The sequence below is a fragment of the Homo sapiens genome, chromosome 13 (genome assembly GCF_000001405.40).
Source record: "Homo sapiens chromosome 13, GRCh38.p14 Primary Assembly".
Taxonomy (NCBI): Eukaryota; Metazoa; Chordata; class Mammalia; order Primates; family Hominidae; genus Homo; species Homo sapiens.
In genome coordinates, this window is record NC_000013.11 from 32,135,979 (window position 1) to 32,160,406 (window position 24,428).

At 36.3% G+C, this 24,428-nt stretch overlaps 1 protein-coding gene across 5 annotated transcripts in view, besides 2 other annotated features; it reads left to right on the plus strand.

Annotated features, from left to right (window-relative positions):
* FRY (FRY microtubule binding protein) overlaps positions 1-24,428 on the plus strand; it is a 267,352-nt gene that overhangs the window by 104,205 nt on the left and 138,719 nt on the right. For all 5 annotated transcript variants that reach the window (XM_047429999.1, NM_001411012.1, XM_047430000.1 and 2 more), the window contains exons 11-16: positions 893-994; positions 11,304-11,407; positions 11,861-11,969; positions 13,770-13,856; positions 19,513-19,684; positions 21,295-21,427. In XM_047429999.1, the coding sequence (XP_047285955.1) occupies positions 893-994; positions 11,304-11,407; positions 11,861-11,969; positions 13,770-13,856; positions 19,513-19,684; positions 21,295-21,427 (707 nt within the window). The remainder of the gene's footprint in view (positions 1-892; positions 995-11,303; positions 11,408-11,860; positions 11,970-13,769; positions 13,857-19,512; positions 19,685-21,294; positions 21,428-24,428) is intronic.
* Positions 3,354-3,648: a silencer, noted in NCBI's record as "tiled region #2624; K562 Repressive non-DNase unmatched - State 24:Quies". NCBI's record gives its function as "represses a minimal TATA promoter and a strong SV40 promoter by Sharpr-MPRA in K562 cells {active_cell/tissue: K562}" and the evidence as "EXISTENCE:reporter gene assay evidence [ECO:0000049][PMID:27701403]".
* Positions 6,831-7,332: an enhancer, noted in NCBI's record as "NANOG hESC enhancer chr13:32716946-32717447 (GRCh37/hg19 assembly coordinates)". NCBI's record gives its function as "activates a minimal SCP1, AML or CMV promoter by ChIP-STARR-seq in naive H9 embryonic stem cells {active_cell/tissue: H9 hESC(naive)}" and the evidence as "EXISTENCE:reporter gene assay evidence [ECO:0000049][PMID:30033119]".

Sequence of the window (24,428 nt, forward strand, 5' to 3'; positions counted from 1 at the left end):
GCATTAGAGCTGCACTCAATGGTAGCAGTAGTTCCAAGTCCCTTTAAAACTAAGTTAATTTAAAAAAAAACGACTAATGAACTGTTAAGCATTGTGGGCAGTTGTTTCTTGTTAATTCAAGTTAACAGATGAGCCAGTTACATTTTTATTTCATGGCCCTTGATTAAGAGGGAATCATAAAGGTCTATTACATCTGGCTTAGCAAAATGGTGATGGGTTCTGCATGTATGATTTTTTTCGGTGGCTGTTCATTACCTTTGCTGTCTTCTCAAGTTGCTGCGGGAAGCTGGCCCAGTTAGGCAGGAAAAGCACAGTAGCACCTCTGTTTATTTGGTCATAAGCAAATTCCTCCTGTGGTTAAATTTGTCTTGGTAGAGTTTACCAATGCAATAACACTTCTTTTAGGAATCTTCCTTAATTACCAGAAGGTTGCATGCAAAAGAAAATATAGACAACTACCTCTAAGATAGGGACAAATTATTAGATGTCTATGAGCAAAAAAGCCAATAACATTTTCAAAATCTGTGTGCCTTCCTGCTTTTTTTTCTGGAGATTAAGAGAGTGATCTAAGATGGTAAGTTTGTTTTTAAATTTTATAAGTAAAGTCTAAATCATTGAATCAGATTTCTGCATTATTATACATGAAACTTCTTTCATTTTATTACACGCTATCCATAATTCTTGGTTATTCCATCCCCAGCATTATCAGAAAGCGTTTGTGAAATGCGCGCCAGTGCCCTGCATCCACTGGGCACTGTTGTGCTACACAGTGTCCTGTTTCTTGCCCACAGGGCCCCCGAGGGAGATGGCAAGGTAGTGGGTACAGAGAATGTATGTTACCTGGTTTGTTGAAATATAAATGATCCTGTGACCTCCTCTCCTTTCTCCTCAGGCCTTGTACCCCCTGGTGACCTGTTTGCTCTGTGTCAGTCAGAAGCAGCTGTTCCTGAACAGGTGGCACATTTTCCTCAACAACTGCTTGTCCAACCTTAAAGTTAGTATTTGTCAGCTCAAAAACGATCTCTTTAAAAAATTTACAGTAGTTTTTAGGCTGGCTGATGTGCTTCTGGAAGTGACTCCTGATGTTTGCCAGGGGAATTGTCCTATACTGGTGGAATAATGAAAAAATATTAATAAGAGTTCTTATTAAATATAGTCAATTTTAGAAAGTGACTAGGAATAAGATAAATCACTTCAGATTTGGGAAAAATAAATCTGTTCTAACAAGGATCACTTTAAAAGTAGAATTAAATGTTCTTTTATATGCATCCATTGTCACATTTTATCTAAATGATTTAAAAATAGAATAAGGGCCACATTCAGCTAATAGAAGCATGTGAATTGATCTCAGAAGCTCACTTATACCTTCCCATCCTTTCTCTATCCCCTCCAGTCTAGAAGAATGTCTCTGGGGCAAAATCTGAGCAAAATTCTAAATATTTTGCTCAGATAGCTCCAGTCTGTGGAAGGACTGACCTAGCAACAGAGAGCACTTCTTTCTTGTCACTGTCATTTGTGATTCTTGAAGGTATCCTGTTCAAGCCACATGGCAGTCAGTCCTAAGCATTCACTGTTTCCAGCAATACACCTGCTACACAGGTGCTGGGTCTTTAAAATGGACTTTATAACTTAAAAGTGGTGAACATGTTTTAAGTTTTAGTAACCTATTGATAAAAGACAGTGAAATGAAAACTATCCCTAACATAAGTGCAAATAGGATGTATTTTTGACAGTTGTTCTTGGTTGTGTCCAAAGATGTGATTAAATTTCTTTTACCAGTTTGATATTAGCTGCTTTTGAATTTTAAGAATATAGTTAGTTACAAAATTTTGTATGTGCTTATACACGTTACCTTTTTTTTTCTATGATGCTTTAATTTGGTGAAGTAGTTAAGATTAATTATATTATTTTGGCATTTACCATAATTACACAATAATCTGCATTAGAGCTGTTTTAAGCACCAACTAGGAGCTGGCTCTAAAAGCTGATTGTGAAATCCAAGATTAGAATCATTCATTTTCTTCAAATTGGCAGTGAAATATAATAGCAGTGGATAGAAAATTAAGCTTTTAAGTACTCTGAAAAAATGAAATGCTTTTCAGGGTTATCAAGTGTTACATAAAGGCCACTTTCAGGTTTGTTTTTTTTGTTTTGTTTTGTTTTTTTGTTTTTTTTTTGAGGATCTGCCATATAGCTCTAACATGTAGCCTAGTGTCATTTGTTAACTGGTCCACTTTCAAGTTATCCAGCTGTTAGTTCATTAAATTTTTTTTCTATTACATTTTACACAGATAGGAAATAGTCACTTTATTGAAAACAGAGAGGGGAATTATTGAGAGTGCTTATAGTGCAGTTTTCTGTATATTCTATGTTTAATGTGTATGGGTTTTTGCTTGGAATTAAAATAATATTTTTCATGACAATCTATTGCTGTGGCCACAGAGACCCCAATTTTTTGTCTGAACTTGTTTTTGAAACATAGCAGATCATCTTACTTTGGAACTTAATTACTTCAAAGTTAGAATATTGCTTACAGCTCTAGTCAAACCCCACCAGAAAGATTTAATATGAGGGTTATATACAACCCCAGAGAGGAGCAGGCCTGGGCACTGACAGTATATCCCTGTGCAAACTTTTCAAGCACTAAGATTTCTAAGAGGCAGTAAGGCCAGAAAGAGGATGTAGAGTGAATGCTATAGAGACTGAACCACATTCCAGAATTCAGTTCAGCAGGGACTTATGTAGTGTCCACTATGTGAGGTGTTAGGGAAGGTGCTGAAAGTGGGAAGGAGTGGGGAAGGCAATTCTATAAAAACTAGATTATTCTAGAGTCCCTGTGCTTGACAAGCTTAGAATTTCATTGGAGGATATGTAATGAAGTTTCAAAATGCGTGATGCAGACAGTGAAGGATGTAAAAGGTAGGAGCAGGGAGATACCTCTGAGAGTTATAAAGGTCACATACCCCACGAATCACGAAAGAAATAATTAGGCAAAGTAAGGCAGAAAGGCAATGATGTCTTATTTTATGGGTAATAATCTATTTGAATTCACTACGTCAAGGCTAAAAGATATAAAAATATCCTTGATAAGATAAAAATGAAATAAAATTGTATTGCATATATTTAGAACTAAACCTAGTAGGGATTTGAATGGACCGTTTAAAAAATGTTATTAATATTCAGAAAACCTTCCAAACCTCTTGAGTCCTTAGTAAGGAAGAAATACCTGAGAAAAAACTAACACAGCTTCAAAGATATACTTTGTCTTGAATTGCTGCAGTATTTTATGGGATTTAGAGCCAATTCTACCATTTCATAAGTGACCACCAAACCAACCCTTCCCCGACGCACCTTTCTGCACCCTTCCCTGCCTTCCTTACCCCTCCCCAGCCACAGATGCTTCAGGATAGTGAACTTCGCACCTGAATCCCACATGCTGACCTTTGGTAGCCACCTTTGATGTATTCTGTAGAGGTGAGCCATCAAGGGGCAGTGTGGCAGAGCAGAGCAGAAGTGTGCGTGAGCGTGAAAACCTGCCCACTTTCAATGTAAACAAGCTCTCAGGGTCAACACTCACTTAATGTCAGTGCCCTGGTTTATTCCCAGCATTAGTCAGTCAGAAGCAGGTTGCTTTGGGAGCACAGACTTGAAATCTTTAATTTTTCTACTTAATTAACTTAAGCATCTATTAGTAATATTCCATTATAAATTGATGAGAAATGTATAGCACCTTTTCACTGAGACATTCACATCTTTCAGGAACTCTTGGTCCGTGGTGACCAATACTTTTTTCTTCTATGTATTTTATGTCAGAATCTGAACATATTGTGCTATAAAAAAATGCATTCCCTTCACATCTGCCATACAACACCTAATTCTGACAAAAGGAAATATGCTTTGTGAACTTGATTTAATAGTACTTTTAAAATGTTGAGTCACCATTTGCAGATGAGAAAAAAATTAAAAATTTAAAAATTAAATGAAATGATGTTCATAATACTATGTGCTAGTTTCTTATCCTTCAAAATAAAATGAATTGGGAGAATTTAAAAATTTCTTATATTTTATAAAAATGAATATAATATACCAGTGAGGCCCAGATTATTAAAAAAAAAACAAAAACAGAAAAGAAACCTCAAAGGTTAAGAAACACATGAATTATTTGATTAATAATAATAATAGCTCTCATTCACTGGAGATACATTATGAGCAGGTGAGTGGTAGAGGCTTCCTATACATTGTTGTGGGTATCATGGCAATGCCACGGGCTACACTGAGTTTCCTTATGCTTTCATGAATGTTGTTTATGCATTTCCAAATATTTGCTCAGATAGCAATACTGCATCTGAAGGTTAGACATGATTCAGTTTAGTTTCAAAGTTGGAGAAACCAAAGTACAGAATGAGAAAGAATACTCCTTTTTTCTCAGGGAGTACTTATGCTAGGACTTAAATCCATTCCGTCAGTTGCCAACAATTCTTTATAAGTAGTCTACCAGGCACAGTTCTAGGTACTGGGAATAAGTGATGAGTAAGACAGTAGCACTCCCTGGTCTCTTAGACCTTGTAATTTAGTGGAGGAGACAGACCAACAAGCAAATAAATAAATACATGAGAAGAAAAAAAAACAGATAATGATAACTACTCTAAAGAAAACCTAATAGATATTAGGATTGAGAATGACGCATTCAGGGAAGGCAGGCAAGGGAGGTACAAGCAGGGTATTTGATTTCCAGAAAAATCTCAAAACAAGTGTGGTTGCCATAAATATATTTGATGAAGCTTGTGTATAGCACTTCAATATTTGTATGTAATAATTGCAATGAAGTTTGAATGCTTTTTTCAACTTTTCACATAATAGTAAGTTTATTAATGTTATCTTTATCTTGTAAATGGAGACATTGAGTAATATATTAAGGATTCCACAATCATTGCCTGAATTAATTAAAATATATGGCATTTATTTTAAAATGACTACTTTTCTCTTTTAAATACCAAATTTAAATGGTATAGTATAGCTATTTTAATTATTAATTTTCAAGATGTAGTTATTCCGCTTTACTATTAATCTCATTTCTATAATCTTGAGAAAATCTGTTTCAGATCTACAAAAATAAAGGCACATTTCAAAGATTCCAATAATGCACATAAACTGGACGTAAAAATTAATAATAAGATGACAAGCACGTTATTTTCCATGAATGCCTTATTTATCCAACCATTCAATAGAAAAATAATTGCCATAAAAATGTTGTTATGATAATTTTAGAGATTATCCTAAACTGTAGCAATAGGTTATTTGGATAATATACAGTCATCAAACCCGGTGAATCATAATCAAAGTAAGTTGATTCAAGTATCAAAAAGAAATGTCAAAAAGATGTAAAGTATTGCTGTGATATGCAAAATATAACAAAGAAATAGATTTACTTAGATGGCTTTCTCTTTGAAATGGAAGAGAAAACTGGAAGGTATTTTAAGTATAACAAAATTAGTAGATGACTAAAATTATCTGTCTCACTAGGTCTTTACCTTAACATACATAAGAATTCCTACAGAAGCCTGTTATAAATGCAACTTCTTGAAGCCCACTTTCTGAGGTTCTGGTTCAGAATATCTAAGGTGCAACCCAGGAATCTGCATATTTATAAGCAGCACAGGTGACTTGGTGCAAATAGTCAGCTGACGGACCTTGAGTAACATTGGTCTATACCACTGATTGCATCACCAGCCAAGTTATCAGTGAATTCACTTGTCCCCACTTGTTCCCATTAACTCTGAATTGTTTTAACTAAATTAATTAAAAGCAAAATTTAAAGGAGGTAGGCATGTTATTAGATAGGCTGACACATTCCATGAAGTCAGTGACTGGCAGTGAGGTGAGATGCAGAGGGTCCAGGGAAGATCTACTCTGAAGCCCACTAGTTTCTTGAACAATTGTATCAATGAACCTCAGAGCCATAATAAATGCATACTATTAATTAATTATTGGTTAATTAATTAAGGGAGATGCAGATTCCAACAGAAGAATGGTTTTTTTTGATCTTGAAGCAAGTATCTTTGACACAGAAATCAGTGGTTTGAGACATATGCTGAAATGTCTGCATCCTGAAAATATACATCAAGCACCTATTCTGTTAGCTGCTAAGGAAATACAAAGACAGAAGAAGAAGAAGTGCTGTCTTCAAGTAGAGTAGGCACCAATAGCATATGTGTGCAGCCTCCACATACTATTAAAGTGAAGTGGAAAATTTAATGCTTTAAAGCCACTGAGGCCAGATTGCCTAGGTTCAGATTCTAGCACTGTCATTTATTAGCTGTGTGACCTTGGGTAAGTTATTTGACCTCTCTGTGCCTAGAATCTACTCCATACATTGCTGTGAAAATTAAAATGAGTTAATATAAGTGCAGCATTGATTAAAATAAAATACCTGCCCTGGCAAGCACCATGTAATACATACATTCCAATTTCTGAGAAAACAATACTTATTAGAGCCTAAGTCAATTCCTATCCCAGCTGTCGTTTACTAACCTGGTTTACTGTCGTTTACTTTGAGCAATTTATTGGGCCTTCCCTCATTTATAAAATCCTTCAATTGACATCTTGTTATGTGAAAGCACATCTGAAATACCAAAATTCCATACAAGTGCAAGATATTTATTACTGTCATTATAATATGAAAATTAGCTTCACCTACATGGCAAAGTTTGTCTTTCATATAGGTCCTGTACAAATGAATCTAGTTTATGCATCAAGTTGTTCAGCTACTACTCAGATTGTTTTTGATTTTGAATACTTTCTGGTTTTGTTTTTAATATATAACCTGCTGTATGGTAGTCACTGAGGACACAAAAATGAACAAATCAGAATGCCTGGAACTCACTGTCTGGTAGGAAACATTCAAGTAAAGGATGTCTGTTTCCTAGAAAACAGAGAGCAGGGGTGCTTGGTAGCCTCTCCAGAGGATTGGGACAGGAGTAGAGGGGCAGGGGAATGTAGTAAGAGGAGATGTAACCTAATTGAAGTTATCCAAGTAGACAAGGATAGGAAGGCATTCCAGGCATGCAGGGAATTGCAAAAGGGATGTTGCAGTGCAAGGTTCACCTACCACAAGGCAGAGGCAGGAAGTGGTACAAGGGAGCCAGGTCACAAAAGGCCCCTCATGTGCTATATTATGAAATTTGGACATTGTCCAGTAGGTGATTAGAAGCCTCTTAAGGACTTTAAATGCAGGAAAGTAAAAAAACATGTTTGTATTTTCAAGAATATCATTTGTGCAAGAATGGAAGAGAGGCCAGAAAATCCATTTAGGAGGCAGTTGCAATGATCTGATATCATCTTGAAATGCTAAAAACCAATTAACAGTACATAATCCACAGACAAAACAAACTAAAACCTAAGTTTGCTACTTTGCTTTTCAGTGCATATGGAAGCAAAAATAATCTCAAAAATGTTCTTAAGAGTGAAAGAATATTAGTCACAATAAGATGCTAGAAAAATGGTAGACAGGAGGGACAGGACAAATATTTTAAAGAAGTTGAAGTTGAAACAGAAGACACTAATGTCAATCAGTTAAACTAGAGATCTCGGTTATGGTCTACAGTGAAATTGAGATGATACTTGCCTTCCTCATCATGATACACAATGAGAGATTATGAATATGAAAGAATTTCAAATGATATGCTATGCAAATATAAACTGTTATATATATCTTAAAAAAGGAAATTCACAAAGGAAAAGATGTTTCTACTAGAAGAGAAGCTCCTTAAAGGCAGGGGCTACATTTCCCTTGTTTGCTGCTTGATGGCAGGTGTCTTCTACATAATAATACTACAGGCAGGTACAGTGTTAAGTACCCTATGTGCATTAACTCACTTAACTCTCATACATTCCTGTGATGGAGGTAGGATTATCATCTGCATTTCACAGACAGGGAAAATCAGACCCAGAAAGATTAAAATGCTTTCTCTAGGTGGCCACACAGCTAATAAATTATAAGGCAAGGATGGATTCAAACCCAGGCAGTCTGTGTGTGGAGTCTGCTTTTAACCACCATGTAAGTACACCATAGGCATTTGCTGATTTGGACCAATTGGAAGACGAGTAGTCAGAATTTCTGAAATTTTTAAATGAGCGAGTATTTTAAATGCAGCTTTACTAGTTTCAAGTCCCCTTTAAGTAACTAAAACATTTGACAAATTTTACCTGTTATATTAACAGGCAAAAAAAAACCAAAACAAACAAAAAAAAAAACTTCTACATAAATGTGTGCTTCTAAAAAGCCAGGTTTTTTTTTCTCCATGAAGCTAAACAAATAGCTATAAAGTTCATCTAGAATAAACACGCAAGAACATCTTGGAAACCGCTAAAAATTAAAAAAAGAAGCAATGGACTATATGAAGTAGGCCATACTAGATATTAACACATTATAAAACCTGAATAATTAAAATGATGTTGTATTAGTACTTGAATAGACAGACTAGTAGAACAAAAGGAAATGTAGAACAGACCTAAATGTACATGGAAATTTAGACTTTTAGAATAATGACCACACATCTTTATTCAGTAACAGTTTAAAGATAAACTTTATCCCAGATCATTTCTAAACAATTACGAATTCTATAAAAATCAGTACCTAAATTATCTACACTAAGAAGAAAAGAGAATCATATGACTAAATAAATGGAGACAGACAAGTAACATAAAGGCAAAAGACCTATCAGAAAGTTAAGACACTGAAAGACTGGTTAGCAAACATTCATTGACCCCGTGCAGAACAGCAGAAATTTTAATAGATCTTAGGGGTAAATAATGTCCCCTTTTTTCAGAGAACCTATCATTTATGTGGGAACTGATGTTTAAACAAGATCTCCCCATAGGTAAGGAGTGGAAGGGCTATGCTAGATGTATGTGTGAGAGTCAGGGGACACTCAGGAGGAAATAATTAGTTTTAACGGGCTGGAATTGAAGGCATCAGGGAGGAACAGAGAAGGCTTCACAAAGGAGAGGACATCCAAGCCCACTATAAAAAATGAACAGGGTTCACTTGGGAGAAAAGAAAGATTCAGGAATGGGGGTGGAAGGACACTTCTATCATGGAAATAGAATGAACGTGGCCTAGCTAGGGTTTACAAAGCTTGCGGGAGAGTAACAGGATGGGAGGCAGAAGAGATAGGTTAGAGCCAGCTACTGACTAGTCTTGTATGCCAGGCCAAGAAATGTTAGCTTGATCCCACAGGCACCAGAGAAACTACCGATTCTGTGATTTCTATATAGAAAGGATTATAATCGGTGTAAGATAGACATCGGGGCAGGGATTGACTTAGGGAGACTGTTAGGAGGGTACTACAGCAGTCCAGATGACAGTGTTGGGAGCCTGAGCTATAGCAAAGGAAATGAGAATGGATAAGATGTCAAATTCAAGAGAAATTTTGTGGACAAAATCTATAAAATTGTTTGAAAGGATGGAGTGAGAGTCAGAAGTAAGGAATGGAGGAATGAAGTGTCCACAGATGATGAAACCCACACTCCCCTCTCTGACTGATTTGTTTTTTTTTTTTTTTTTTTTTTTTTTTTTGAGACGGAGTCTCGCTCTGTCGCCCAGGCCGGACTGCGGACTGCAGTGGTGCAATCTCGGCTCACTGCAAGCTCCGCTTCCCGGGTTCACGCCATTCTCCTGCCTCAGCCTCCCGAGTAGCTGGGACTACAGGCGCCCGCCACCGCGCCCGGCTAATTTTTTGTATTTTTAGTAGAGACGGGGTTTCACCTTGTTAGCCAGGATGGTCTCGATCTCCTGACCTCATGATCCACCCGCCTCGGCCTCCCAAAGTGCTGGGATTACAGGCGTGAGCCACCGCGCCCGGCCTCTGACTGATTTGTTAATGCCTGGGTGCCCACAGCTGGTCTCCCTGCCTCTGCTCCATTCCCCATGCTGCAGACATTGGACTTCCTCTGTGGTCTCTCTGATCTCATTGGCTGCCTGTCACCATCATGAGAAGCCTATTCTCCTCATGAAAGGTGCCTCATGTAGCCCCTGCTTTCCTCTCAAGCCTCACCACCTACTGCTCCTTCACCTGGCCTTGCACTGGCCCTTCACCAGCATACAAAGGATTCCCAGGCTCCAAAACAGGAGCCCTCTGCTCCTCCATTTCTCTCAGATTCCATGTGCTCTTGCCTCTGCCTACAAACCTCTCCCTCCCACCATTTTTTTTTTTTTTTACACCTTTCGAAGTATCTAGGGCCACAAACTGTGGCAGGCTCAGCATAGTAGCTCAAATGTGTGTGCATTATGAATGAGTACAACAAAAATGGATTTAAGGTTCATCTGAGTTTTTTTGTTGTTGTTGTTTGTTTTTGTTTTTGTTTCTGTTTTTTTTGAGACAGAGTCTCGCTCTGTCGCCCAGGCTGGAGCGCAGTGGCGCCATCTCAGCTCACTGCAACCTCTGCTTGCTGGGTTCAAGCAGTTCTCTGCCTCAGCCTCCCAAGTAGCTGGGATTACAGGCACCCGCCACCAGGCCCAGCTAATTTTTGTATTTTTAGTAGAGACGGGATTTCACCATCTTGGCCAGGCTGGTATTGAACTCCTGACCTCGTAATCCACCTGCCTCTGCCTCCCAAAGTGCTGGGATTACAGGCATGAGTCATCTGAGTTTTTATCTGCACCTGGAATCCTTTCCTGACCCCATTCCTTGAGTTTGCCATATGTTGCCCTTCTTCCTATCCTCTTGCTTCTGTCCCTACCAGTTTTTCATACTGTTGTAGAGTTGACTCCCATCCCCCATAGATTGTGAACATCTTAAGGGAAAGGATTATCTTTTATCTCTGCATCTCAGGTTCTAGCACAGTACCTAGTACACATTAGTCTCAATAAATATTGGAGGGTAATCAGATGGGATGGGGATGGGGCAGAGGTGTTGGAGAATCAAAACAGTAAGGATTTAAAAGGACATAATCAACAATAAAAAGAACAGACTGATTCTCATATTGGTGCTAAAGAATTTGGGTTCCCTAGGGTTGGAGGGAGAAGATAACCTCTTGAGTACTCATCTTGGCAAAGGAGAAAATGACATGGCTTCCCCCAGAATTAATCTGTCCCACCGTTTATATGCCTCCTCATGGATGATTTATCCTATGAGCATTGAGAGGCCAATACTCTGTAAGTCCCAGGTGATGCAATGTGTCTCATAAGTACCCAGCCATCCACCTGGAGCTTGCCTTTTCCAGGCCTGCAGATAAGAGCCATCTCTAGAACCTCAGACCTCACTATTTACATCTGCAGTCTTACATCTTGGTTTCTGTTATAGAACAAAGATCCCAAGATGGCTCGAGTTGCACTGGAATCTCTCTACAGATTACTTTGGGTTTACATGATTCGAATTAAATGTGAAAGCAACACAGCTACTCAGAGGTAAGATTTGGCTTGTGTCAATGGTAACCATATCACTCAGCCACTGCAGAGGGTGTTTCTTTTATTACTACCTATGCTAACTCAACTAGAAGCTATTCAAAGCTGACAGTTTCTAAAAGATCTAAGTCCTAAGGAACATTTTCAGGCTTTCCATAGTCATTGGCTCAACACCCATTACAAAAGCTCCAGCCTCTACCAGGATCAACAAGTTCCACTTCCAGAGTTGCATTTGCCACTTTAACAAAAAAGCAGCTGTAATTTTCCAACTGCTCTTAGTTTTCCAGAAAAACTTTTCATAGAGTAATTATGCTAATGGAAAGAGGTGAGGTGGTTTGTTTTCTTTTTCTGAATTCTCTCTGATTCTTAGATAAGATGAAATATCTGCCATTTTCCCTTAAAGAACTGGAGCTCAGCCAATCTTGCTTGTTTTCTCTTTTCCCCCTTATCTTTCAGCCGACTTATAACCATCATCACAACACTTTTCCCCAAAGGGTCCCGCGGTGTGGTACCAAGGGACATGCCTCTGAACATCTTTGTGAAAATCATCCAGTTCATTGCCCAGGTAATGGAGAAGATTCCGGTGGTGGGAATCTTCTGATGGTTTTTCAGCAGCCAGCCTCCTTCTTATGAAGTACTAAAAGACGGAAAGTCTAAATTAGCATCTTACGTGTTTAGACTTCTGTGAAAGATTTAAAGTGTTTTCACACACAGCCTATTCTTTTGCTTCAAAACAAATTGTGAGTTGAGTATGTCAAGTGTTTTCAGCATCTGATAAATGAAGAAACAGAGACAGAGTTTAAGTGGCTCATCTGAGTCACAAAGTCTGTGAATTAGTACGATTGTCTTGACTCTTCACCTCTGTTTTTTTCCTGTTTCTCTGCTCTGGATTCTACAAGTAAAGAGGAAGCAAAGGGTCTGGCGTTCAGAGAAAACCAAAAGAGAACAATTTAGCAAAATTTGAGGAATAAATAATAATGTTCTTTCAACCTATGAAAAAGAATTTAATAGGAATATTAGCATTTATCAAGCACTCTTTTGCCAAGAACTGTTCTAAGTGCTTTGTGTATATTAATGACTTAAAAACAGGTCCAGTAATATTAAACATAGTTTTTAATATGTAATTTACTATTTGAGCCCAGGAGTTTTACTTTTCAAAACACTTTGTGAGTAAATGGGTTTACCCCAACTTTGACCTCCTTGTGCAGAGGAACAGGAAAAGACTATTATTCCAGTCCAGCCTCTGCCATGAGCCATCTCTATAACCTTAAACAAGTCAGAGAACATCTTTTTTCTGTGTCTTTATCTGTAAAATGGGGATAAAAATGCTTGCTTCAGAATATTGTGTGCTTAAAAGGAAATAATGGGCATGAAAGTACTGTTGAAGTACAGTTGATACTGATATAAAGTGTAAGGTTCAGTTGCTACTTCACAGATGATTTGACAGTGATAGCTCTCTTTGAGTTTGGTGCAATGAAATAGTTCTGTAATATTTGTACTTAGGGAAAGGACATTACCTGCTCTGCAGGTGAAAGAATTAATGTAATTTTTCTGCATGTAGTTATCATGTGACTGAGAATGTGCTTTGTTTATTCTGGAATATGTTGTATAAAATGAACCTGTTTTATTTATATATATAAATAAATATGTACATATACACACATATATACACACAGATACCTGATATATTTATATATAAAAATTATATATATTAATTATTTATATATACCTGATATATATATTTCTGTTATATATTCCTGATATATTTTTACATATATTAATTATACATATTAACTATTGTTATATATATACCTGGCATATTATACCTGTTATACTATATATATATATACACCCCTGATATATTAAGTAACCTTAATATATCTTATGTGTTGATTACATGTCTCACATGCAGAATTACTTGTTATACTATGAGCCAAAGGATTTTTAATGTTAGAGAATAGAAAAAAATGATCATTTTGCAGTGATCTCTTTAAAAATACATTTTAAAGAGGTACAGTACAAGTAGGAAGAGTTCACATTCTTTATAAGCCCAGATACCCCAAGTGTTTGGTTATTTGATTTGTGGGGGGGGGTCTTTTGTCATTAGTCATACTGTGGTTTAGAGGCCAATTACATATTTTGTATAATGAAGGCCTCCTTGCACACCACACAAAACAGAAGCAGCCCTACCCTCGGTTCAGATGGGCATGGTCTTCCTCCAGGTTCTCTGCAAGCCACAAAACTGAGCAGTGCCCCTCCTCTTTTAGCCACCACCTGTTCGCTTGGTGCATATTGATGAAAATAGCCATTTTCTGTTGAGTTTATATTTTAACACTTTCATTTTGTGTTCTTGTTTTTACTACAGGAACGTTTAGATTTTGCAATGAAAGAAATCATTTTCGATTTTCTTTGTGTGGGAAAACCAGCAAAAGCATTCAGTCTCAACCCAGAGGTATGAATGATCCTTTTATGTACTTCTAACAGAGCATGTCTTCCGGAGCCATACCTTTGCTTTGCGGCTTTGGAGAATGGGATGAGGGATGTCTTCTCACAAAGTCTTCTATTTGTTTCTGTCAATGTCCAAATTCAGATGATGGTGGAATTTCAGAAGTAAAATTTTGGATGAATAGACTTAGAATGAAACGGTTAGTTGAAAGGTTGATGTGCTACCATATTCTGTTCTTGTAAAACAAAGTAATTCTTGCCCAAAAAGATAATTCATCACTAAAAGTTAGGTTGTTTTATTTTAGAAAAGTCAGTGCTTTTACTTGTAACTGTTCAACAAATTTAGCATCGGGAAGTGATGAAATAGAGAAGAACAAATATGTGTAATAATAAAAATAGTAAAACAATGAAATTAAATAAATAATGTATGCACATCTGTTTCTGTGACAGCATCCCAACTCCAGGGCAGGCAGATTGTGGAGATGAGTATACAGTGGGCATCATACACAACATGGAGCAGTGGAGGCTGTGCACATGAACAGCACATATAATTTTAAACTTTTAAAAACACTGTCAGCCAACAGAAGTATGCCTGGCACACTGCCTCTTTTTCTATGAGGTTGTAGAAAGAACACTGGACCAGAAGTCAGCAGAGCCAAATTTGCCACTTGCCACAGGCTCTGCTGCTTTTCCTAGCTGTGTGACATTTACCTCTATGAACTGCAGCTTTTTCACCAGTAAAAAGGACAAAATGCCTTTCTACCTCAACTCGCAGAAGAATTGTGATATTAGGAAGAGTACATTACAAACTCTTAAGATAAAAAAAGGGAAGGAAGAAAGAGAGAGAGAGGAGACTGCACACCATAAAAATCAAATACATAGAGAGTTCCTGTCATCTCTATATTATCACCTGGCTCCTTCATTCTGTCAGTGAGGAAGGGGGCCTGGAGGCTGGAGACTGGCAGCTTGTTAGTAGCAGAGGGGACCCAGGTCCCTGTTAGTCCCATGCTCCTTCCCACCACACCCCATATTCTCTTCTTGATACTAAGGTTGCCACGTATCTGGGAACAGCACAAAAAGTCCAAAAATGGGAGTTTCTGTCTGGTGTCCAGTGACCTCACAGGCTTCTGGAATGGCTGCAGCCAGGGTCTCTGGGCCAATGGGAGGGGGCAGGGCCAGTGCCAAACCAGAGGCTTTGGGCTGGAAGGAGGCCCAGAGCTGTACAGTGAAGAGCCTTCTCTTGCTGGGAAGGTTCTCAAGACATTATTCATTTCTTAGCAGTCATGGCTTTACTGTCTTTAGCAGTCATTTCTCAGAATTACTGGATTACTTGTCTAAAAAGGACATGTTAAAAGCTACTACCATCATTATCACTGTCTATAAAATGTATTCTTGGTTCTTTTCTCAAACTCCTCATTCAGTCAGTGCGTAATTAGTTAACCTCTCTGTGTAGAGCAGTTGGAACTGTGATTTAAAAAAAATATATACCAATAGGAGTAAATATTTGGTTATCTTCTTCCATTTCTCGTGATCTTGTAGATTTATGGAATAATTCATTTATCAGTAGTTGGTAATTATAAGCCCAAAGGCATACCCATAACCCCACTCAAAAGCAGACGGGAGGACAGCATAGTCTGCGAAGCAGATGTCATACACTTGATGAAACATGCTGTAGGGCATTGTTTCTCGGGAAACAAGTTCAGATTGGGTCTTAAATAATATTTTGGAAGTAGCTTGTGGAACAAGGCCTGGAGATCTAAAGGATTATCTTACTGTAAACTTTATGCTGCACCACCACTCAACTCTTCAAAATTTCCAGGTAATTGTCTTGTTTTAGTGCACACCTGAATGACCTTCTATATCCATCCTCATCGTCGTGAAGACTTGCTGGTCTGTGAGAAGAGTTTCTTGGTCATCAATTTCTCTGTTTTTCCTTGACCTAAAATAACCTGAAGTCGGAGGTCTTATGTAGTGCTAGCGGCAAGAAGAAGAAATAAAAGCGTATAGATTGGAAAGGAAGAAATAAAATTGTCTTAATTCACAGAGAACATGATTATTTATGTATGAAGAACCTAAAGAAAACCTACTGGGACTAATAAATGATTTTAAGAAGTCTGTAGGATACAAGAGAAATAAAATCAGTATATTCTAGTTATGAACAATTAGAAATTGAACAATTTACAGTAACACTGAAAAACAAAATACTTAGCACTAAAGCTGACAAAATATGTGCAATATTTTAATACTGAAAATTACTAAATCCTGAGAGAAATCAAAGAAGACCCAAATAGTGAAGAGAAATAACTGTAGATTGAATGACTCGCTGTTAACAACAAGAGGTCAGTTGTCCCCAAATTGATCTATGTAGATTAAACTGTAATCTCAATAATAATAAACCCAATTAAAATCTCTGTACCTTTTCTGTAGAAATCAACAAGCTGATTCCAAAATTTATATGGAAAATCAAAGGAACTAGAATAACCAACATAATTTTGTAAAAGAAGAATAAAATTAGAAGAGTAGCATGGCCTGATTTCAGGACTTACTATAAAGTTGTATAGTGATCAAGGCAGTGTAGTATTGGCAGAAGGATGAATATAAAAACCAGTTGAACAGAATAGAGAATCTAGAAATCTAGAAATAGACTAACACATATAGGGTCAATTGATTTTCAACAATGATTCTAAGTTAATTCAATGGATAGAAGATAATGTTTCCAATAAATGGTGCTGAACAATTGGATATCCACCTGCAAAATACTGAACCTCAGCCTATAATTTGCACTATAAACAAAAATTAACTCAAAATGGATCATAAACCTAAAGGTAAAATCTGATACTATAAATCTTCCAGAAGAAAAGAAGATTTTCATGACCTTCAGGTGGGAAAAAATTTCTAGGACATAAAAGTCATAAACTATACAAGAAAAAAGTTGATAAATTGAACATCATCAAAATTAAAAATGTCTGTACTTCAAAAAACAGTTAAAGTGGAGAGCCACAGACTGGGAGAAAATATTTACAAAACTCATATCTGACAAATGACTTCCATCTGAATATATAGAGAATTCCCACATTTCAATAATAAGAAAATAACCCAATTTTTTAAATGGGCAGAAGGATCAGCATCTTCACCAAAGAAGAGACACAAATGGCTAATAATCTCATGAAAAGACATTCAACCTCATTAGTCATTAAGGAAATTCAATTTAAAACCGAAACGAGATGTACTGGGGAAGATAAAGAGCAACTAGAACCTCATACTATTCTAGTGAGATTACAAAAAGGTACAACCACTTTAGAAAAATTTGGCAATTTCTTTTAAGATTAAACGTATACTTAACCATATGACTCAGCAATTCCATCCCAAGATATTTTTCCTAGAGAAATCAAAACACATGCTCACAAACGTTTGTGCAAACATTTATAGCAGCCTCATTCAAAGTCACTAAAAATAAAAAAGCAACTCATGTCCAAACCCCGGTGAATGACTAAACAAATTGTGAATCATCAATACAATGGGTACTATTTAGCAATAAAAATGCACAAACTGCTGATACTTGCAATAACATCTCAAAAGCATTGTGCTCAGTGAAAAAAGCAAGATATAAAGTCTATGTACTATTTGATTCAATTTATATCACATACTTGAAAAGGTGGAATGTGGAAATTAAACAATGTCTGTCAGGTGCTAGGGTTAGGAGAGAAGACTAACCGCAAAAACGCACAGGGGACTTTCTGGACATGGTGGAAATATTTTGGATCTTGATTCTGTTGATGGTTACCTGACTATGTATGTTTCTCTAAACTCAAACAACTGTACAACTAAAAGGAGAGACATTTAGTACATGTAATTTATATCTCAATAAACCTGATTTTTAAAAAAATAGAGTGGGGATTCTGGCTTACAAGAGATATTTGCCAGCAGCAGCTTTTCAGACATTTTCTTTCATTCTCACAATAGCCCTATATGATTGATAGGTATTACTGTCCTCATTTTACAGAAAGGAAGCAGATACCTGGACATGGAAAAGTTAAGTAATTTTCCAAGGCCAGACAAATAAAAGGGAGAGTTGTGATGAACTATATGAAACTTAAAAAAACATAAATTATTTTTGAAGTTAACTTCAAAATGTGTGTACCAAACTATCCCATCTTATTTCTGCCCTTAGTGTTGTCCCGGGAAAAGGAAAACTTAGAGAACTGACAAGGATGATTGCTAAATTGGATAATCCACTGGCAAATAATTGAGGCTTGACCACATATGTCATCCCACAGTTATTATATTAGTACTACATCTGCTGAATTGACCATTTTATTTTCTTATCCACAACATTGCTGTGTCTTGAGAGACACACACAAGCCTAGAAACATCTCATAAAAGAACTATCAAAAGAGGGAACTAATGGGCTTCGATACACGGATTATTTTTTAAAGTAATATTCTTTCATTCTAGAAAATGGAGAAAGCATATAATTTAAGGCCAAAAAATCATAAAGTACACATTGAATTGCTTATAAATGAGCCAGAGAAATATTTAGCAAATCCTGGTTGAATTATGATAACTCCTTAAAGCTTGAATAAATAATTTTAAAATAAATAGAAGTCTATGTTACTTTATGTTATAAAATGTAATCGTGTTCTACTAAATAGGTGATTCAGGCAAACCAGATTTAGATGCAAAGCTTCCCACTATACCTCAGTTTCCTCACCTGAAAAAATGAGAATACTTTACCCTGTAAAGTGGGAATACCTTCCTTATATGACTGTGTTAAGGATGAAAGTTAATGAGCAGTGCTGGATATATTTTAGGGACTCAATACATTGTAACTAAATTATTTTCATCAGTCCTAGTAATCGTCATTATTTTCTTCCATAGGTAGTAGTATACTTGGGGAACTTACTACTTCATGAGTTTTAAAAATATTGGTGTAAATGTTTCACACATGGCTGCTTAATGGAGTACAGATGTTTAGGTAACTTCTGACCTTTGAAGACGAGCACTAGGGAGAGCTGCTGTCTTACTAAGCCATCTTTCAGGGCCAAAGTTGTGCCATACCTGAGCCTAAGGAAGATCAATCTGGCCCACAATCACATTTCTTCTTACACACCCATGTGTTTTCATCAGTAACAGGTTCTGTGGCATTGAATTTTTAAAATTTCTTCTCAAACTTGCTGGCCTTTGTAAATCAGAAGTCAGGACGTGCAGTTGAGAGCGGGTGATGTTCATTTTATGGTTCCCATTTGGAACCCTGGGTGTTTCCATTCAATCTTTGTGAGCTAACACATGTGGTGCCTCCCTTCTTCCAGGAGACGTATGAGCCCTTGTTTACCTCAGTTTACCTTAGTTGCATCCAGAGGATGAGGCATATCTTTTAGAGATACACTCAGCATTCCCCTCAACAGAATATAGTACATGACCATCTCAAACATGCCCTCCACAGTCGGTGAAATCTCCCCTGTTGTTTTCTTATAATGCAACAAGAAAAAACAGTGACAGAAACTTAATTTTCATAAGATTGCTCTACACTCTTGTGGCTTTTAAATTATTTTCTCATACTCATCTACATGCAATTCAGTCTTAACTATCTGAAAGACTTATGGATGTATTCCACTACAATAATTGGGCCTTTCCTTTTGTCATGACAATATTGTCTCTTACAGAGAATGAACATTGGTTTACGGGCATTCTTGGTCATAGCTGATAGCTTGCAGCAGAAAGATGGGGAACCTCCCATGCCGGTTACAGGAGCCGTTCTTCCTTCAGGAAACACGTTAAGAGTAAAGAAAACATATTTGAGTAAAACACTAACTGAAGAGGAAGCCAAAATGATAGGTGAGTTTCAGAAGTGCATAAGAACTAAGCCTTATTAAGCCCTTAAAATGACCAGTAGATATTTATCTTTAGTGAGATGCAGTTTTTAAAAATCTTTATAGAAGTAGATGATAAGACATTCCAACATTAATTGTTTTGATTGATTCATGCTGTGTTTTGTTTTACTGCTCTTTAAACTTTTTAGAACTTCCTGGTAAATATTTTGGCATTTAAATGTTAGACTTTTATCTATGGTCTTTTTAAAGCCTCTAATAATGATTACTACGTTTTTCAGTAAGTCTCCAAGACATCTGTGTGCTTTGCTAAATAATCCTGTTCATCAATTCATTCATTCATCTCCTTCTTTTTTCTTTAGTTAAATTTAAACATGTTAAATTTAGTTTAACATGTTTTAAACATGCCAAATCTCACAACACACATCAGGTTATATTGTGGATTTAGACTACATGAGATGATTTTCTAATTTAACTATCTTATCTAAAGAGATGTTTTTGGCATTTGTTCATTTCTTACCAAGTATCCAAATGTAGACACCTACTACAAACTTTATTAAGATAGTTACTGGATTCTACAGACCTGAGAGAAACACACAAGGAAATTTTTTGCTTTGAAATATTTCTCTTTAGTTATGCAATGTTTAAATGACTTTTAAAAGATGTAATAGGTTGGGCGCAGTGGCTCACGCCTGTAATCCCAGCATTTTGGGAGGCCGAAACTCCACCTGAGGTTGGGAGTTCGAGACCAACCTGACCAACATGGAGAAACCCTGTCTCTACTAAAAATACAAAATTAGCTGGGCATGGTGGTGTATGCCTGTAATCCCAGCAACTTGGGAGGCTAAGGCAGGAAAATCACTTGAACCCAGGAGACGGAGGTTGCAGTCAGCCAAGATCGCACCATTCCACTCCAGCCTGGGCAACAACAGTGAAGCTCCATCTCAAAAAAAAAAAAAAAAAAAACAGATGTAATGCATGAGAAATAATCATGAATAATTATTTCACTAAGGTACAAATTTTAAATACAAAGGTATTTACTTTTCATTTGTATAATTCGTATACACATTCGTCTTCCAGTGTGGGACATCAACACTGTAGTTAATGAGAACAATAAAAATAATATAGCTAAAATATGTTTTTCTTCATTTTTAAATTTATAATATGAAGTTATTTTATTTTACTAAAAAAATTCACATATATATTTCAGAGGGCCATATGGAGTTATTAAAGTCCTAACCCCCAATGAGAATTATTCTTTATTTACATAATCACTAATGATGGTGAATTTTCTTATGCTAACTAGAAACTTTAAAATTCAAATTGCTTTAATTTGAATTTTGTATTTTCTTATTATTTTAACTCTTCTGGAAAATACTTCCAATTGAGTATTAGAATTCCTATACATTGAATTAAAATGATTATCTGGTGAACACTTACTAAGTGCAAGGCACTATGCTAAAAGCTGTGCAGATGAGATTGAATCAGACAGCCCTTTTGCTCAAGGAAGTCATTGACTCATAAGGTCTTCAGTAAAAAATATTATAGAGGATGAATAAATCAGGATATCCTTTGATAGATTCAGTTGAAGGTATAACTATAATGCATGTTTTTCAGGCATGTCCTTATATTACTCTCAAGTACGAAAAGCTGTAGACAACATTTTAAGGCACCTTGATAAAGAAGTAGGAAGGTGTATGATGCTGACTAATGTACAGATGTTAAACAAAGAACCGGAAGACATGATCACGTGAGTACAGTAAAGACTAAGTTATCAGTGAAAGATTAACCAGAAAACACAAGTAGAGAGTATTCTCATTTATTCTGTATTTTGTTTTCATCTTCTTAGGGTTCTAAAAAGTAGTAAAGATAGTTAAAAAAAAACCTTCACAGTATTTGATTAACTATAAAAATAAGGTCATATCTGTGATTGATCTATTTTATTTATATCTCAAGTATCACTAGGTCAGTAAGTTAGAAAATGAGGACCATGACCCACTAGTCCATGTTTTTCAGAAATGGCATTTTGTTCCCAGGCACCATCACAACTCATGTGACATAGTGACATCCCAAATTTACAGACATTCCATCTTTATACATCTCGTGACAGTTCCTACTTCATAGTTTCTGTGTGATTGTATCACAGACTGCATCACAGAAAGCATTTTAAGAAAGCATGCGTAGCTTCAAATGTATTCAAATCAAGTATTCTTATTCAAAATCTGAAGATCTAGATTGACAATTAGAACTTGCATTTGCTGTTTTTGTTTAACTATGGCAGGAACTAGGATTAAGTTATAATTCTATATTTTAAGAAAGTTTGGACTGTGTTGTTGGGCTATGAATTAAATTACATTTGATAGCTGTGGCATAATTTCCAAAAATATAATTAGGTAAATTTCTTCTGTCATCCATCATTTTCAACTGCAAATATAAGAATTAATCTGAAGATTGTTACCTATATAGAGAGATTCATATTGTGGTGTGCATTTTTTTTTGTGATAGTAACATGTGCTCGTGATTAAAGCAAAGGCAAAAATGCAGAATTATTTAAAATATGTATTTGGTAGAATCTAAAGTTAAAATAAAAGCCTCCTCAGAGCCTCACATGAAATCTGCAGCCGTTTCTTGGATCAATGTGATTCCTTCCAGACCTTTCCTTATGTCAATACAAATGTATGTGTATACATACCTCCTTTTCCCCACAAAAGTGGGATAATACAATGCATATTATCCTGCAGCTCACCAATTACTCGATTTAAATAGTATGAGATGATGTTGCTTTAGACTTTTCAACCGAAATAATAGCAGAATTTATATTGACCAAGATTAATAACGTTAAAAATATTATCTACAGTTCTAGTTCTTACCTCACAAATTGCCAGATTATCAATAAACTTTCAACCTCATTTTTCCATACTTCTTGCATATATTAAAGCCATTTTCAATTTATAATGTAGAAGATATAAAAAATGCATTACGCCAGGCATGGTGGCTCACACCTGTAATCCCAGCACTTTGGGAGGCCAAGGCGGTCAGACCACTTGAGGTCAAGAGTTCAAGACCAGCCTGGCCAACATGGCGAAACCCCATCTTTACTAATAATACAAAAATTAGCCGGGCATGGTGGCGTGCACCTGTAATCCCAGCTACTCGGGAGGCTGAGGCAGGAGAATTGCTTGAACCCGGGAGGCAGAGATTGCAGTGAGCCAAGATTGCACCACTGCATTCCAGCCTGGGCGACAGTGAAACTGTTCCAAAAACAAACAAAAAGAAATGCATATAGCTGTTTCCTCAAAAAAAAAAAAAAAAAAAAAAAAAGAGCTTTAAAGGACAACCATATTCGTAATCAATAGGCATCATAAGATAGGTTCAGGACAAAAACATTATATTCAAAATCATAAAAAGGTACATGTTTAAATGTAAACATTTTATTTATGTTTTAATCAATGTTCAAACTTTTTCTAAGGTTCTTCTTTACTTTTTCCTATTCAAACATCTTAAGACCTCCAGATAGGGCTAGAAATATTTTTCGTGCTAGAATTCAAGGCAGATTCCTAAATAACTCATTGCATCATTTCTTAAAAAAAAAAAATAAGGAAGAAGAGAAATGTTAGGGAATCATATAAGCATTTAGGAGAAGAGGGTGGAGGCCCACACAACACTAATGGAACAGTCATTGGAGTTGATATTTGAAGCTGGGCCACCACTTTCCCAGGCCCTACGCAGGGTAAGAACTTGAACATTGAACATTCTGTGTTGCTCAGTCTTTATTCCATATCCCTTTTGTGGTTCATGCTAGTACAAAAAAAGAAAGAAAGGAAGAAAGAAAATAACAAGTAAAGAATAATAAATAATAATTTTAACATCTGTTAATATATTTTCTTAATTATATAATTTTGGGGATTTATATGCTTCCCATAAAAGGCCAGACAGCAAAGACTGCAGTAGTAAGAGGAAATCATGCAGCAATTAGTTTCTAATCTAGGCTTGTTTTATCATCTTGGAAGTCTGGCAGAGTTCGCCCTTACACTTCAGGCCAGGCAAGGTCATCCATTTTCCGACAGATATAAAAATAATCCCAGCTGTTAAAAACATCTGGTGAGCAAACTAGTAGAACTGTTTAAACTACTCACTGTGTTACAAATGAACAATTAGAAGAGATCTCTAGGCTCTAACACTGTACAGCTATTGAGGATATCTGAAAACATTTCTTTCCTTGGCTGATTGGAAAGCCCTGTGCAACTGCTTCCTCTTCTCCAGGGTCCTCAACAGCTCGTGCAAAAGCTCTATGGATGACAAAAGTCATAAGATTATTAAGAAAATAATCTTATGACTGCCCACAAAAGCAGATTATTTTGGAAGACAACATATTATGTGTTTTATTTTTCATATAAACAATTTTTTATTAATTCTTAACAAACTTGTAAAAGCACAATAAAAGGTAATGTCACAGAGCAAAATTGCTGCTTGATTATGATCTTTAGATTACACAGAGGATTGATTCTGCTAGTTGCATTTCTATTCTGACTACAGTTACTGTTCCAAAAAGGAATTATTTTTATGCTATTTTGCATTTTCATTATTGTGCTTGTGTCCTTGGATCACATTAATTTGGTACTGATTCTATATTTATGCTCAGAAGACTAAGTCATCAGACTTTAGATATGCTGTTATATATTATCACTTGGGTCATTTGAAAGATTTTGGTGGGTAGTTTATTCCATAAAGGTTACAGATAAAATAAGTGG